Raw genomic sequence first — 12,099 nt, 5'->3', positions numbered from 1 at the left:
GAACTACCCTGTTCATAGTAAAGAGAGACGACTCCAGGACCTCCCTGTGTCCCTTTTCCCCTGCACCAGCAGTGAGGAGTTGTCCATGTGGTTGTTTGTGTGGTCAATGGTTTGGGGCTTCCTGCTCACTGAAGGATGGTGGTTTTTTGTTTGGCTTTTTCTTCCTTCTTCTACCTGAGAAGAAACTGGGGGAGAAATAGTTAACCCTGCACCGTTTGTGTGTGCTTTTACTTCCAGCTTATCAGAGCAGGGGGCAGTGGTGTTCCCAAGGCCAGGACATAGGCTCCTTCAAGTTTGCCCCTTGGGTTAGAGAGAAAGTTTCAAAAATGAAGCTTCTCATCTAATCTAAGTTACTTTATTAAGTCTTTGCTTCTGAGATGGGAGGAAAATAATTATAATTAAGGAAGATATAACAATATTCTTTTTCCTCTCTTGGGGACTGCAGGAAAAAGCTTACGTCCATGTGGAAAATCAAGCTATCCTCTTTTTAATCTAGTAATCCTACTCCTGGGAATTTATTCCAAGGACAGAAGTCAAAAGAACAAATGCTGTATATACACAGTGATCTGTATGTAGTAGTATTAGCCATAGTAGCAAACAATGGAAACACCCTGTTAGGATGTCCCCAACAGGCTGATCAAACACATTATGGAACAGCAAATAAGCAAAATTTTCTCCAGCTATTAAAATTACAGCTAGGAAGAAAAAAATTCATGCAATTTTAGGAAATGGTAGTAAATAAAACATTGGACACAACATATGCATATTATAATTGTAAAAGTAAAACGTACACACATAAGAAAAAGATTAGAAGGAAACAAGGAGAAGACAATTGCACAATATTACAACGGTGAACTTTTAAAAATTCCTTTGACAGTGTTGTAAAAATTGTTTTAATACATCCAACTCCATTTGCTAGATGCTCTGAAGTTCATCCCACTCCCAAACATTTATAAAAAACATACAGAAATCAAACAAGCAGGAATAAGGAGAGTTCATGTATCTGAAAGGAGACTGTTGCCATCTGCCCCATTTCTGCATAAGGAAAAGGCTACACAAATAAAGGTAAGTCAGAATTCTGGGTTAAAAATTATCCAGAAACAATGTAACATCCATTTCTGTAAACAAGCTGTGTTTGAGGGAATTAGAGAGAGAAGGTGGTGACCTTATGCAAGTGGGGCCCTTGCACAGAGGGCTGTGTGAGACATGGGCACCCTACTCCTTAGGCCATGATCGCTGTTTATAAAATACATTACAAGTAGGCAGGTCTCATTTCCATCTCAAGGTGAAGCACCAGCACTTCTGTCTCAGGAACCCAGGATGGTATAACACCAGCCTTCCTACTATGTCTCTTCCCAATAATCCAGAGTCAAAGAGCTGGCCCTGAAGACAGGGCCACCAACATCACCTAGGAGGGGCCACGACTAGGTGAGTCACATCATGGGGGCAGCTGCCACATCTCAGAGTCCCTAGACTTTGTCCTTCCGGCCTAGCACAGAGGAAGACTTCAGTTAATGTCTGTGGGTTAACAATTCAAATGCAAAGCAGAGAGAATTAAAATAAGAACTGAGATGTCACCAGAAAGGACACACCCGCAGGAGGCTGTCCCACTACAGGGCAGAGCACTAGAGAGCACAGGAGAGCCTGGAGGGACAGGTAGACAAGCTGCCACATCCACTACCACCACTGCAACAAAACAGCACTTGAAAAAGCAAATGGAAAGTGCCATACAGTCAAAACCCAAACCTGCCGCTTCCACGTCCAGAGTCTAAGAGAATCAGCAACACTTAAGGCAGAAAAAAAAAGGTGATGTGAAAGCAGAGCTGCAAGGAGACTGAGTGACAAGTGAGGGAGAACATAAAGCTGCCCCAAGCCTCGGGTCAGTACCTGGAAGCACGTCTAACCTACGCTTCTGCTCCAGAACAACTGGGATGATCACCGGGTGACTGGAGACACAGGGGGCATCGATATTTCAAATACCAGTGAGCCTATGCATGCCAGCGGGCCGGGGAATCTTGCAAAGCAAAGTCAGGCAATTTCGCATATTAAGTTTGCCCACCTTTGACAATAACTTCCCCTTAGCAGCATCTTCATTCCTCATACCGTCATTGCAAAATTTGACCAACACTGGGCTTGACTGGTAGCTACCATTAGTTAGAGTTTAGAGTTGACTATAGGGAAAACAACTAACATGCAGGTTGTACAGTCAGGTACGACAAAATGGTTGTGGACTGGAACTACCTGGAATTGCTCCTTTTAGGATGTGCTGCTTCCAAAGACAGAGCCATTACCCTTTATCAACAGGACAAGACACCAGGCAGATTCCCACTTTGAGAATTCTGCACACACCCCCTCCACTGCCTAGAATGAAGTTGGACCTCCAGGGTTGGGGAAGGGACACCTACCAAATAGAGACACAATTGGTATCAACATGGATTCATGTGGACGACGAGATAACATGGGAGAAAGAGTATGACTACCCCCATCACACACAAAAAACAAAATCACGCACGGCACGTTGCTCTTTTAAGTGAGCAAGTAAAGAAGTTCTACCATTTCATCCTGTGTAGGGTCGTTGTCAAAAATCTTCATAGGTGGTGGGAGGGGTGTGTGTGACTCTTCATCCGGCTCATCTTCACCCCAACCTTTCTTGCTCTTCTAGAACAAAAGAGCAGCATTAGTTACTGTGTCACAAACATGCCAGTGGTTCTGGACTTGACATTAACAAAAATAATACATAGGAGGAGAGTTCCTCTCTCAACTCACTCTTAACTGTTCAGTCGCAATTTCCTCTTTTGATACATGGATACACCTGCTTATTTCAAATGAGAGTGAGCACCAGTGGGGAACACACACACACACACACACACCCCCAAAAAGAAGCAAAACCAGAAACTATCTATCTTATCGATTAGCAAGAAAAGAAAAAGCTGGAAGTAGTCAGAGAGAGCCTAACTTTTACATTTTTGTAGGGCTATGAAACCATAGCCCAAATGCCGCCAGGCTTAGCTGCCATTTCCAGAGGGAGAAATGGCAGGTAGCATAAAATCACAACAAGAGGGGGTCCAGTTACACATCACAAAGAATTTCTTAGCCACATCAGTGATTAGAGCAGGATTGTGTGCCAAATAAAACAGGTATCTCATTTCCCCAACCAAAACATATCCACTGTCTTTTGGTTACAGAATCTCAGCTTCATCCAGCCTAACTTTGGCTACAGTCTCTCAAACCTTCCAGTATGGGCGTTCATTAGTTTTCATGAAGGCCCATTTAATCACTGACTGACTCCTAGATTAAACTTTTTCTTTGAGCGGAAACCCTGCCTATTGTAATCTTCATCTGTTCATCATAGTTATCTGGAGTAACTCTGGATGATCTATTCCTTTTGATGTGTGGCACTGCTCAAGAGACTTGAAAACAGCTACAATCTCCCAGCACAGTCCTGTTTTCAAAATGAAACAATCTTCATTCTTTTATTCTAAATCTAAACAGGTCTAGCTGGTTTTAATGTAGTCCTTAGTAGAGGTAGGGAACTAATGACCAAATGACTCCCCTCAGGCCCAGGTCCTATCTCCAAATCTGGCAAATGGTTTCTGTCTGCTGGAAGTCTTAGGGGCTAGTCAGCTTCTGAATCAGCCACAAATCAAACTGGCCAATGTCTTAAGAATAAAAAGAATCCAAATCACTTAGGCTCAAGGTAACACACTAATGGAGATTTGAGATGGCCTAGTTGACAAAACCTGAGGAAGGAGACATGTCAGAAGGCCCTCCTGATGGACAACTCCAGGGCCCCCTGTAAGTACCTCATCAGCGCTGTCTCCCTGAGGGGTTGTTTCATCCCCAGGCTTGGGAGATCCCAGGTCAAAGCTCTTCCGACCATCGCGAACTTTCTTCTGCTTTTTGATGTTTCCATCTGCCTTCCCGCTGTTAAGCCGACGCACAGGACTCGTCAGCCACTTCTTAAGAGTGTTGGTGGAGCGCTTGGGACCCGGGGAACTGTGGATGGAGTTCAGGGAGGGCTGGGCCTGCAGGTTGGCCACGGACTCGGACTTGCCTCCATTCTCGCTTGAGGAATGAGAGTATGCATCTGAGGAAAACGGACAGACACAGCCATGTCAGAGGTGGTGAAGGCAGGCCGCAAACCTGGGACTGAGACAGCTCCATCCTCAGGAAGCTAGGACACAAGGCAGAATGTCCAGGCCAGCTGTAGACCCCAGTCCAGAGAACCCTCTCAACAACAGTAAGAAAGGCAAACGCTCACTCAATTTTTAAAGTATGAAGCACCATTCCCGGTACTATGGATACAGGAGTGGGCAGAAGACAGAAACTCCTGCCTTCGCGGAGTTTACATTCTGGTGGGAAACACATATAATAGACTATAAAAATAAAATAAGCAAAATGAAAAGTATGACAGGTGGTGAGAAGTGCTACATCAAAACACAAAGTACGGGAAGGGATTAGGGAGTGCTGGGGTTGGAAAAGGGGGTGCAGATTGAAGAGGTGATCAGGGCCAGTCTCATGACATGACATGTGAGCCAAGGCCTAGTGGTGGTGACGCCATCTGGCGAAGGGCCTTCTGGGCGGAAGAGCAAACACAAAGGTCCCAAGGCAAGGCCTGGGGTGGCCTTGGTGGAGTAAGCCGGGGGGATCAGTAAGAAAGGAAGTCAGAAAAGCTACTGGGAGCTGGGTCAACAAGCATGTGGTAAGCCAGTGCTATGCCTCTGGCTTTTACCTGGAGTGAAAACCCACTGGAAGATTCTGAGCCAGAGTGATTCAATCTGGCTTATATTTTTAAAGGTCATTCTGGTTTCTATATTGAGGGCAAGTGGAAATAGGGAAACTGGTTGGGAGGCCACTGCACTATTCCAGGTGAGGGATGTTGGTGGTTTAGAAGTAGGGTGGTCCTAGTGGTTGTTAGAAGTGATCAGATTCTGGAGATGTTTTGCTGGAAGGGCCAATATGAATTGCTGACAGACTATGTGTGTATGGGATATGAAAAAAGAGTCAAGGGTATCTCAGGTTTTGGGTCTGAGGTTAGGATGGGGTTCCTGAGATGTGGAAGAATATAGGAGGAACAGGACTCAGGGAGGAAATATAGGAGTTTAGGTTTAGACATCTTTGAGATGCCCATTAGATACCTGAGTGGAGAAATTGAATAGCAGCTTGCCTTCAAGTCTGGAGCTCAGGGGAGAAAGTGCTGGTGAGCTGGAGATAATTGCAGAGTTGTCAGAGGAGAGATGGGGTTGGAAGCCATGAAGCTGGGTGAGATCAGCGAGAGGCATGGGTATGGATAAAGACAAAGTCCAAAGACTAAGCCAGAAGCAGGAAGACGAGAGGACAAGAAAGTAGCCAGTGAGGTAGGAGTAAAACCAGGAGGGTGGGGTGTTCTGGAGGCTGCACGTGGAAAATGTCTTACAAAGGGAGAAATCGGCGTGTCAAATGCTGCCTGATAGGTCAGGAGAGTTGACCTAAGAATTAAGTCTTAAAACTGAGCAACATGGAGATCATTGGTGACTTTGAAAAAAGCAGCTGTAGTGGAATGGAGGGGGCCATGGCCTAATTAGAGAGGATGCAAGAGCATGGGTGTGAGAAACAAGACAGAGTATAGAGAATTCTTGTACTGTTTTAAAGGCACAGTGATTGGAGAACAAGAGTTTGTTTTGTTTTGTTTTGTTTTTTAAATCTCAGCATATTGTTTGTAAGCTGTATGCCATATATTGACTATTTTCAATCGTATATGCTTGCAATAGCCTAAACATTTTATGTGGACTATCATTTCATTCTCCGTATAACTCTATGAGGTAGGTTCTGTCATTATCCTCATTTTACAGAAGAAGAAACTGCAGACTTAAAGAGTTAACTTGCTTAAGGACATACAGCTCATAGGGGCAAGGTGAAATCTGAACTGCAGACAGCCAGACTTGAGCACTAAACTACACTACTGGAGCCGGGTGTGGTGCCTCATGCCTGCAATCCCAGCTACCCAGGAGGCTGAGGCAGGAGAATCACTTGAACCCAGGAGGCGGAGGTTGCAGTGAGCCAAGATCGCACCACTGCACTCCAGCCTGGGTGACAGAGGGAGACTCCATCTCAAAACAAACAAACAAACAAACAAACAAACAAACACTACTGGGCCTTTCATGTCTACACCCGCCCAGTTCTCTAGGCTCCCTCTGAATATGGGGTTAGGGATGAGGTTTGAGGAAGAGCAAGTCCAGGGAAAGCCACGCTGCCATGGAAGAATAGAGAGGCTAGAACAGGCATGTGGCAGATGTGGGCATGCAGGAAAACCACATTGAGCAAACTTTATTTAATTTTCCCTAAATCCTTGATTTCTGAATACTCATTAAACTCGGAGGAGATCAGCATTAGCATCTACCTACCTTGGCTTTAGAGAATAGTTTTGAGTTATTCAAAAGAAAGCCCTTTAAGTCCACTTCAGATGTCTTCCTAGTTCTCAGTGCTTGTTTCTACCAGTATTGAGAAAGCTGGGCATTCGAAAGTTGCACAGGAGCATCAGCATGCAAATCAAGATCCTCAGTGAAAATTCCTAAGTAATAATTATGTCATGGAGCACTGATTAGGTCATGTATTATAAAGATATATAAGACAGATTTTTATTTTCGCAGACCTCTTACCTAGCTATACATAGATATCCATACACAATAGAGAGAAGCAGAGAGAGAGAGAGACAGAGAGAGAGAGAGAAAAAATGAAAAAGCAAGATTAAGCATGCAAAATAAAGATAAATTCACAAGGCTGTATGTGATTAATTGCCAGAGGGCTGGTATGGACTTTAGCTGACAAGTAAGCAGAGTTCAGAGGAGGGTGAGATCAGTGTAGGCGGGATTGATCTGAAAAGATTTAATGGAAGAGCTGTATCTGAATAGAAGGGTGAAGGAATTCCAAAAGGGAGAAACAGCAGGAACAAAAGCACAGAGGCAGGAAAAATGAAAAATAAGTTAACAGCCAGTAATAGATCCTTTGGATGAAATAAAGATTAGTGGAGAAAGAGAACCTGGATAGAAAAATTTGTGAGGACATTCAATAATAAACCAGAGGAGTATAAACTTTATTATGAGACTACTGGGAAATGACATGATAAAAAGAGTTTTTTTTGTTGTTGTTGTTACTGCTTTGTTTTTAACGAATCTTGGCAACTATATACAGCACAGCCCTGCGAAGGAGGAATTAGAGCCCAGAAAACCACACTAGGGCTGTGCACAGGGAATATAAAGAAATGAACGTGAGACACTTCAAAGCAAGAAGTGATACCATTAGCATCTGAACAAATCAAAGGTGAGTTGTCTCTGTGTATGCTGATGCTTCTCATCATCACCATGATCTTGGGAGAATACCTGACCAGCTCTACCTCACCCGCACATAGGCCCCCTGACAGTGCCGGTTTGCATACTGATATTTAAATCAAACACAGGACTAGGTATTTAAACAAATTATTACAGTGGCTTTTCATACCTACTCGAAGACTGAGTCACCTTTTCCTATAATGACTTTGCCCTAGACCTAGACTAGAGGTCTAATCTACCTGGGAGGCCCTCTGGCCTACATGCAGCCAATAGAGAAGAAATAAAATCCTGAAATAGGGTGAAAGGATATGGCTGGGCATGGTGGCTCATGCATGTAATCCCAGCATTTTGGGAGGCAGAAGTGGCCAGATCACTTGAGGCCAGGAGTTTAGGACCAGCCTGGCCATCATGGCAAGACTCCGTCTCTACAAAAAAAAAAAAAAAAAAAAAAAAAAAATTAGCCAGGTGTGGTGGCACATGACTAAAATCCTAGCTACTTGGGAGGCTGAGGCATGAGAACAGTTTGAGCCTAGGAGGCAGAGGTTGCAGTAAGCTGAGATCACACCACTGCACTTTAGCCTGGTCAACAGAGCAAGAGAAAGAAGAAAAGAAATGAGAAGAAAAGAAATGAAAAGAAAAGAAAAGAAAGAAAAGGAAAGAAAGGAAGGAAGGAAGGAAAGGAAGGGAAGGAAGGGAAGGAAGGGAAGGGAGGGAAGGGAAGGAAGGGAAGGAAGGGAAGGAGGGGAAAGGAGGAGGAAGGGAGGGAGGGAAGGAAGGAGGGAGTGAAGGAGGGAGGGAGGGAAGGAAGGAAGGAAGGAGGGAAGGAGGGAAGGAAAGAAGAAGGGAGGGAGGGAAGGAAGGAGGGAGGGAGGGAAGGAAGGAGGGGGGAGGGAGGGAATGAAGGAGGGAGGGAGGGAAGGAAGGAAGGAGGGAAGGAGGGAAGGAAAGAAGAAGGGAGGGAGGGAAGGAAGGAGGGAGGGAGGGAAGGAAGGAGGGGGGGAGGGAGGGAATGAAGGAGGGAGGGAGGGAAGGAAGGAAGGGAGGGAGGGAGGGAGGGAGGATGGAAGGAAAGGTGAATGGATGCTTTTGCCAATAGACAGCTGTCTCCGGTGGCTACAACTGGCTGGTCTCATGGGCACAAATCTCAGGCTTTCTGAGCCTTGACCCTGCTGGAACTTTCTTGGATATTGCTTGAGTTTTGTGCATAACTTGGAAAACAGCAGCAGAATATTTGTATTTGGAAGCATAAAAATTGAGCTTCTAAAATTCTCTGGTATGAAGGATAACTCACAGCGTTGCTATACTCAGGGAATATTAGGAGCTCGACTAACTTGGTTGGCATCTCTTTAAGGAAAAAGCTGTAATCTTATCTCAGAAAATTCCTTGCTGGCTGTGGTCTTGGGTGTGTTGACATTGTTTCTGAAGTGTTTGGTATGGGTCAAACTACTGTTCTCAGAAGGCTGGGTGATAAACATCTTCAGAACACTGGTAATAGAAGCAGGGCCTCTCTGCTATCTTTCTGCTGATAAGTTTGCAGAAGCTTTTCATTCACTAGACCCCTGTGATGCCATGTGGCTCTACTGAATCCAAGCCTTCAAGACTTATTATCAGCACATGTCGTGTCAGCAGAACTAGAAGTCCGGCCACATTAACTGTGCCTTGCGTTACCAGGCGAGACAGATGACTGCCTAAGATTTCTGTTCCATGGTACATCATGGCCTGGTTTTGAGATTCACAAATGCACATTTTGAATGACCATTCCTCTTCCCCTGTTGTCATTTACTTCTGCTTCTTTGCTTTCTGTGAAAATTAATGGCAAGAGTATAAAGTACAAATTAAAAACCAAAAGTAATCTCTATTTTGTTGTTTCAAGTTTGTTCCATGCAAGCAACTGGAGCCATGCAACCATGGCCCAAGTTATGGGAATCTCAGAGCTGGAAGCAATGTAATTCATCACCTAGTGGGTGTCCTGACTTGGGATAAGACCATTTCCAAGACACTTTAAATGTCTGGTTATAAAGGAATGTGGCATCATTTAGATTAGAAACATCTACTTAGTTAATCGCTTCTTCAGAGGGATTGGCATGTTATGCTCATCCCATCTTTTTTGGAAAATGGCTGCCATTAGCTGCTAGAGAACTTATTTTACTATCTTTCTAGATAAAACAGCTAAGTGACAGATTTGGAATAACTACAACAATAATATCGTTCTCTCGTCAAATCATCCCAAGTCCAGGCAGGTGTTATTTATTAGGATTCCCACCTTAGGAAACAGAAAATGAGACTGTTTTAGGAAACTGAGGCTCATAGTGACTGGCAAAGGCAAGACTTAAACCCAGATCTGACTCCACCACACATGTATTTAATCTTATCTCTACATCCAAGTTCATTCCATGTGTTCCTTTCATCTTTACCATTATTATAGAAGGGAGCATCAAGTTGCTTAAAGGTTTATATGTGGAAAACCACTTGTCACAAATCAGTAACAAAACTAGTACCAGCATCTAGGCATCCCTAGGCCTATTCTAGGGCTCTGAACCAATGCTTCCTCTTTAGCAAAGAAGCTTTAGAAACTGCCCAAAGACCAATGACTGGCATTAAGTAAATGGGAAGACAAATGGATCCCTGGACACTGCAAATAATAAAGAGCCCCTAATGTTCTGGTATGTACAGTTGGCTTTCTATAATTAAAAAAAATTTTCTGAAGCGAATTTTATCATGAAATAGTTTTAAAATACAGAAAAATATAGAAAAAAATTGACATCTATGTACTCATCACCTAGATATAGTGTAAACATTTTTCCATATTTACTCCAAGTTTTTTAAAAATAAAAGATTACAGATATAGTTGAAGCCTTTTATGTTGCCCAGTTGCAATCCTACTCTCTAATTGCCCTCATCAAAGTTAAATTCTCTTCTGAAGCTAGTGTGCATCTTTCTTATCCATGTTGTTAAACATTTACTTTTATGTGAATATAGTATTATTTTGTGTTTTATAGTTTATATAATTATCATAATGTAGGTATTACTTTGCAACTTCATTTATTCAAAATTATTTGAGATTTATTCATGTTCATACATGTAGATCTAGTTCATTCATGTTAATTTTTTTTTTCTTTGAGACAGAGTCTTACTCTGTTGCCTAAGCTGGTGTGCAATGGCGCGATCTCAGCTCACTGCAACCTCTGCCTCCCAAGTTCAAATGATTCTCCTGCCTCAACCTCTGGTGTAGCTGGGATTACAGGCATGCACCACCACACCCTGCTAATTTTTGTATTTTTAGTAGAGATGGTGTTTCACCACATTGGCCAGGCTGGTCTCAAACTCCTGACCTCAGGTGATCTGGCCACCTCAGCCTCCCAAAGTGCTGGGATTATAGGTGTGAGCCACCGTGCCCAGCCTCATGTTAATTGTTGAATAATATTCTTTCATAGGCTACATCATAATTTTGTAATATATTTTCCTAATGAACATTTGGGCATATGGGGATATAGAGATAAATAGATATATAATTGTACAAATCCATTTGCATGAGTGTGAGAATTCTTCTAGGCAGTGCTTCCCAAACTGTCTGTGGTAAAGAATCAGTTTTACTTGTTTCCAATCTATTTTGGACCAGTACTTTTTTTTTTTTGGAAGAAGATAGAGATGGGGTCTCATGATGTTGTCCGGGCTGGTTTCGAACTCCTGAGCTCAAGGGATCCTCCTGCCTCAGCCTTCAAAGCGCTAGGATTACAGGCATGAGCCATCATACCTGGCCAGACCAATACTTTTATGAAATACATCACACTCTTGGATGTTGTGGAACTGTCAAAACACTCATTTTCTGGGCTCATCTCACTGTGGATTGGACTTAGTTCAAAGACCTTGGCTGTCTGTGGTCACACACTGAACAGCACTGCTTTTACTCTAAAGCATAAATCTCCAGGTGGAACTGTCTGGCTCCACCACTGGGCACTGTTATGACTCTGGGCAGGTTACCTTGGTTTCTGTATCTCTGTATCTTGGTTTCCTCATCAGTAGGGAATATTAGAACCTATCTCATAAGGTTGCTCCTAGGATTAAGAAGTTAATATTTGAAAAGTGTTTAGAACAATGTCTAGACCCAGAGAAGCATTTGTTAAATAAAAATTAATAAAACCATAAAAACCTCCCCTAATTCCATGACTGACTTTTTTCTGTGTATTCATTCATTCTATCTGTGTGTTCTTCTACAGGCTAGTCTCGATATGTTAAGCGTCAAAAGTTTTAGCTTCAAAGTTCTGTGTCTCATGAAAGCAAAAGAAAAACCTAATACTACCAGTTGCCACCTGGTAATAGATTCTCCCTATCTCCAGTAAGTAATGATAGCTCTTTAACCACTCCTAAGACCAATGCCTGCAATCTCTTCCTAGAATAAGGTAGCCTCATCCTTTGGCTATCAGGCAATTTTCCCCCTCCCTCACCATTTGGAAGTTTAAGCAGCACAGGTTATTCCCTGAAGATGACACCTGCCTCCTTCTATCTATCTACAGGGGTATCCCTCAGAATGGGAGCCTCTGAAGGACTCTATGAGGAGGTAATTGAACAACTGTTGAGATTATGGTCTCAGATACCATCTTGGGGGTTAGAATAAGCACGTTGATGTTATTAGCCTAAGCCTTGGGGCAACAACTCCATGATTTCAGGTATTTTAATCACAGTACAGTAATCTCCCCCTTATCCATGAGGGAAGGGATGCAGTCCAAGATCCCCAGTGGATGCCTGAAACTACAGATGGTATCAAACCCTATATATGTTTTTTTCTATACAT

At 43.2% G+C, this 12,099-nt stretch overlaps 1 protein-coding gene across 34 annotated transcripts in view, besides 1 other annotated feature; it reads right to left on the bottom strand.

Moving 5' to 3' along the window:
• Window positions 1–12,099, bottom strand: part of KALRN (kalirin RhoGEF kinase) — a 692,957-nt gene that overhangs the window by 89,819 nt on the left and 591,039 nt on the right. For 22 of the 34 annotated variants that reach the window (XM_006713810.4, XM_017007429.2, XM_011513279.3 and 19 more), the window contains 2 exons: window positions 3,804–4,087; window positions 2,554–2,658 (listed from right to left, as the gene is read on the bottom strand). In XM_006713810.4, the coding sequence (XP_006713873.1) occupies window positions 2,554–2,658; window positions 3,804–4,087 (389 nt within the window). The remainder of the gene's footprint in view (window positions 1–2,553; window positions 2,659–3,803; window positions 4,088–12,099) is intronic. The other 12 variants (XM_011513280.3, NM_001388419.1, XM_017007430.2 and 9 more) reach the window with 1 other exon arrangement.
• Window positions 1,186–1,687: an enhancer, noted in NCBI's record as "H3K27ac hESC enhancer chr3:124353667-124354168 (GRCh37/hg19 assembly coordinates)". NCBI's record gives its function as "activates a minimal SCP1, AML or CMV promoter by ChIP-STARR-seq in naive H9 embryonic stem cells {active_cell/tissue: H9 hESC(naive)}" and the evidence as "EXISTENCE:reporter gene assay evidence [ECO:0000049][PMID:30033119]".

The sequence above is a fragment of the Homo sapiens genome, chromosome 3, assembly GCF_000001405.40.
Source record: "Homo sapiens chromosome 3, GRCh38.p14 Primary Assembly".
Classification (NCBI taxonomy): Eukaryota; Metazoa; Chordata; class Mammalia; order Primates; family Hominidae; genus Homo; species Homo sapiens.
Note: the sequence above shows the minus strand (reverse complement) of the source record. Positions and strands in the feature narration are given on the sequence as shown.